Below are 3861 nucleotides of genomic sequence, written 5' to 3'. Positions count from 1 at the left end.
GCCTAGGCGGTACCCTGGGTAGCACAGCTGAACTGGCTGTGAACTAAACATTCATTTTTTATTAGCAGCCAGGCTGGACAGAGATCACACAAGACCAACCTGACAACAGCAGCATGCTGCTCTGCTTCAGAAGTAATTTTTTTTTTTTTTGAGACAAGAGCCTTGCTCTATCACCCAGGCAAAGTGCAGTGGCATGATCTCGGCTCACTGCAACCTCCACCTTCTGGGATCAAGCGATTCTCCTGCCTCAGCCTCCCAAGTAGCTGGGATTACAGGCGCATGCCACCATGCCTGGCTAATTTTTTGTACTTTTGTATTTTTTTTTTTTTTGAGATGGAGTCCTCGCTCTGTCGCCCGGGCTGGAGTGGCCTGAGCCACCGCACCTGGCCCTTCAGAAGTAATTTTTAAGGAAGGATCTTGTCCTGGGTGGGGGGTTGGGCAAGGCTGTGAAAAGCAAACAAAAATCACATGTGGCCTAATAGGAGGCCAGTGGAAATACACATGATGAAAAAGAAACTTACAAAAGCACATTATTAATTTCTGAACATGCTAATACCATCCAATAACAATAAGATCTAATATTTATTGAATGCTGATTACTCATCAGCTACATTCCAAGTACTTCTACATGTACAGTTATGTGACACATAAGATGTTTAGGTCACCACTGACAGAATGTATGATGGTGACCCCATAAGATTACAAAAATTCCTATTGCCTAGTGACATATGTAGCAAGATGCATTACTCACGTGTAATAAGTAATGTGATGCTGCTGTAAACAAACCTACTGTGCTGCCATGCCTATAGAAGTCTAGGACGGGCTGGGCACAGTGGCTCATGCCTGTAATCCCAGTACGGTGGGAGGCCAAGGCAGGCCGATTGCTTGAGCCCAGAAGTTCAAGACCAGCCGGGGCAACATAGTGAGAGCCTGTCTCTACAAAAAATACAAGAACAAATTAGCCAGGCATGGTGGCGCATGCCTTTGGTCCCAGCTACTCAGGAGGCTGAGGCAGGAGGATCACTTAAGCCCAGGAGGTTGAGTCTGCAGTGAGCCATGATGGTGCCACTGCACTCCAACCTGGAGAGAGAGTGAGACCCGGTTTTAAAAAAAAAAAAAAGCCTAACAAATAAAAGTATGTATAGTACAGAATACTTGGTAATGATAAACAGTATGTTACTGGTTTATGTGTTTACTATACTTTTTATTTTTTAGAGTATACTCCTACTTATTTAAAAAGAAAAAAGAAAGTTAACTGTAAAACAGGCTTAGACAGGTCCTTCAGGAGGTATTCCAGAAGAAAGGCATTGTTATCACAGGAGATGAAAGCTCCATGCATGTTACTGCCCTTGAAGACCTTCCAGTGGGACAAGATGTGAGGTGGAAGTCTATGATAGTGATGATCCTGACCCTGTGTAGGCCTAGGCTAATATGTGTGTTTTTAACATATTAGTTTTTAACAACAAAGTTTAATCAGTTAAAACAATTTTTTTAATAGAAAAAAGCTCATAGAATAAGGATATAAAGAAAGACAATGTTTTGTTTGTTTGTTTGTTTGTTTTTTGAGACAGAGTCTCGCTCCATCACCTGGGCTGGAGTGCAGTGGCACAATCTTGGCTCAGTGCAACCTCTGATTCCCAGGTTCAAGTAATTCTCATGCCTCAACCTCCCAAGTAGCTGGGATTACAGGCGCCCATCACCACACCCAACTAACTTTTGTCTTTTTAGTAGAGATGGGGTTTCATCATATTGGCCAGGCTTGTCTTGAACTCCTGACCTCAGGTGATCCACCCTCCTCGGCCTCCCAAAGTGCTGGGATTACGGTTGTAAGCCATCGTGCCCGGCCAGAAAGAAAATGTTTGTACAGTTGTACGATGTATTTGTTTTAAGCTAAGTGTTATTATGAATGAATCAGGTGGGGTGTAGTGGCTCATGCCCGTAATCCCAGCACTTTGGGAGACCGAGGACGGAGGATAGCTTGAGTCCAAAGTTCGAGACCAGCCTGAACAACGTGGTGAGACCTCGTCTCTACAAAAAATAAACAAAATTATCCATGCGTGGTGGTACATACCTATAGTCCTAGCTACTCAGGAGACTGAGGTGAGGGGATTGCTTGAACTCAAGAGGTTGAAGCTGCAGTGAGCTATAATTGTACCACTGCATTTCGGCCTAGGTGACCCCGCCTCAAAGAATAATAATAAAAGCTGGGCACGGTGGCTCACGCCTGTAATCCCAGCACTTTGGGAGGCCAAGGCGGGCGGATCACTTGAGGTCAGGAGTTTGAGACCAGCCTGGCTGACATGGTGAGACCCCGTCGCTACTAAATACAAAAAATTAGCCGGTCGTGGTGGTGTGTGCCTGTAATCCCAGCTACTCAGGAAGCTGAGGTGGGAGAATTGCTTGAACCTGGGAGGCAGAGGTTGCAGTGAGCCGAGATAGCGCCACTGCACTCCAGCCTGAGCAAAAAACAATAATAAATAAATAAGTTTGAAAATTTAAAATGTTTATAAAATTAAAAAGTTACAGTGAGCTAAGATTTAGTATTAAAGAATTTTTTTATAAACATGTAGTGTAACTCTACAGTGTTAATAAACTCTACAGTAGTGTACAGTGACATCCTAGGCCTTCACATTCACTCATCACTCACTGACTCACCCAGAGCAACTTCCAGTCCTGAAAGCTCCATTCATGGTAAGTTTCCTATACAGGCGTGCCATTTAAAAAATCTTTTAGGCCAGGCGCGGCGGCTCACGCCTGTAATCCCAGCACTTTGGGAGGCTGAGGCAGGCGGATCACGAGCTCAGGAGATCGAGACCATCCTGGCTAACACGGTGAAACCCCGTCTCTACTAAAAATACAAAAGATTAGCTGGGTGTGGTGGTGGGCGCCTGTAGTCCCAGCTACTCGGGAGGCTGAGGCAGGAGAATGGCATGAACCCAGGAGGCGGAGCTTGCAGTGAGCTGAGATCACACCACTGCGCTCCAGCCTGGGCCACAGAGCAAGACTCCATCTCAAAAAAAAAAAAAATCTTTTATACTATATTCTTAATGTACCTTTTCTATGTTTAGATACACAAATACCACTGTATTACAATTGCCTACTGTATTCAGTACAGTAACATGCTATATGGTTACGTAGCCTAGGAACAATAGGCTATATTGTTCCTAGGTATAGGGATGTGGTATCCTATACCATCTAGGTTTGTGTAAGTTTATTTTATGATGTTTGCATGACGACAGAGTCACCTAAGGACTCATTTCTTAGAATATATTTGTAGTTAAGCAATGCATGACTCTATTGACTCATGAATTCTTACCACAGACCTATGGGGCAGTACTATTGTTACCCTCATTTTATAAATGATAAAACTGAGGTACAGAGACAGTAAATAACTTGACCACGGTCATTCAGCTACTCAAGAGTCAAGGCTGGGATTTAAAACCAGATCACATGGTTTCAGAGTGTTCACACTTACCTACTATACTGTCTCAAGAGCAAGGATGTTTTGGTTCACTTGACAAATGAAGATAGGGACCTCTTTCATTATAAGCCTATTTTAGGCTAAAATAGAAGGGAAGGGGACACAGTGAATCCAGGCCTTCTGGCATGGCTCCTCAGCCCTTTCTGAGCTGGCCTGGGACAGCCTTCCTACCTCACTGATGCCACTTCCTACTGAGCGACTTTCCTGCCTACCTCACTGATGCCACTTCCTACTGAGCGACTTTCCTGGGCTCCAGACCCAGTAAGCGACTTTGCCTGCACCCACCTTATTTTGCTCTACTCCCTGTGCTTTTATGCCTTTACCCATCTGCCCTGGAAAGCTCTTCTAACCTTTGAATGGGTAAAGGCATAAATGTATGC

Source organism: Homo sapiens, chromosome 9 (genome assembly GCF_000001405.40).
Source record: "Homo sapiens chromosome 9, GRCh38.p14 Primary Assembly".
NCBI classification, from domain to species: Eukaryota; Metazoa; Chordata; class Mammalia; order Primates; family Hominidae; genus Homo; species Homo sapiens.
The sequence above is the reverse complement of the archived record's forward strand: the minus strand, read 5'-3'. Positions refer to the sequence as shown.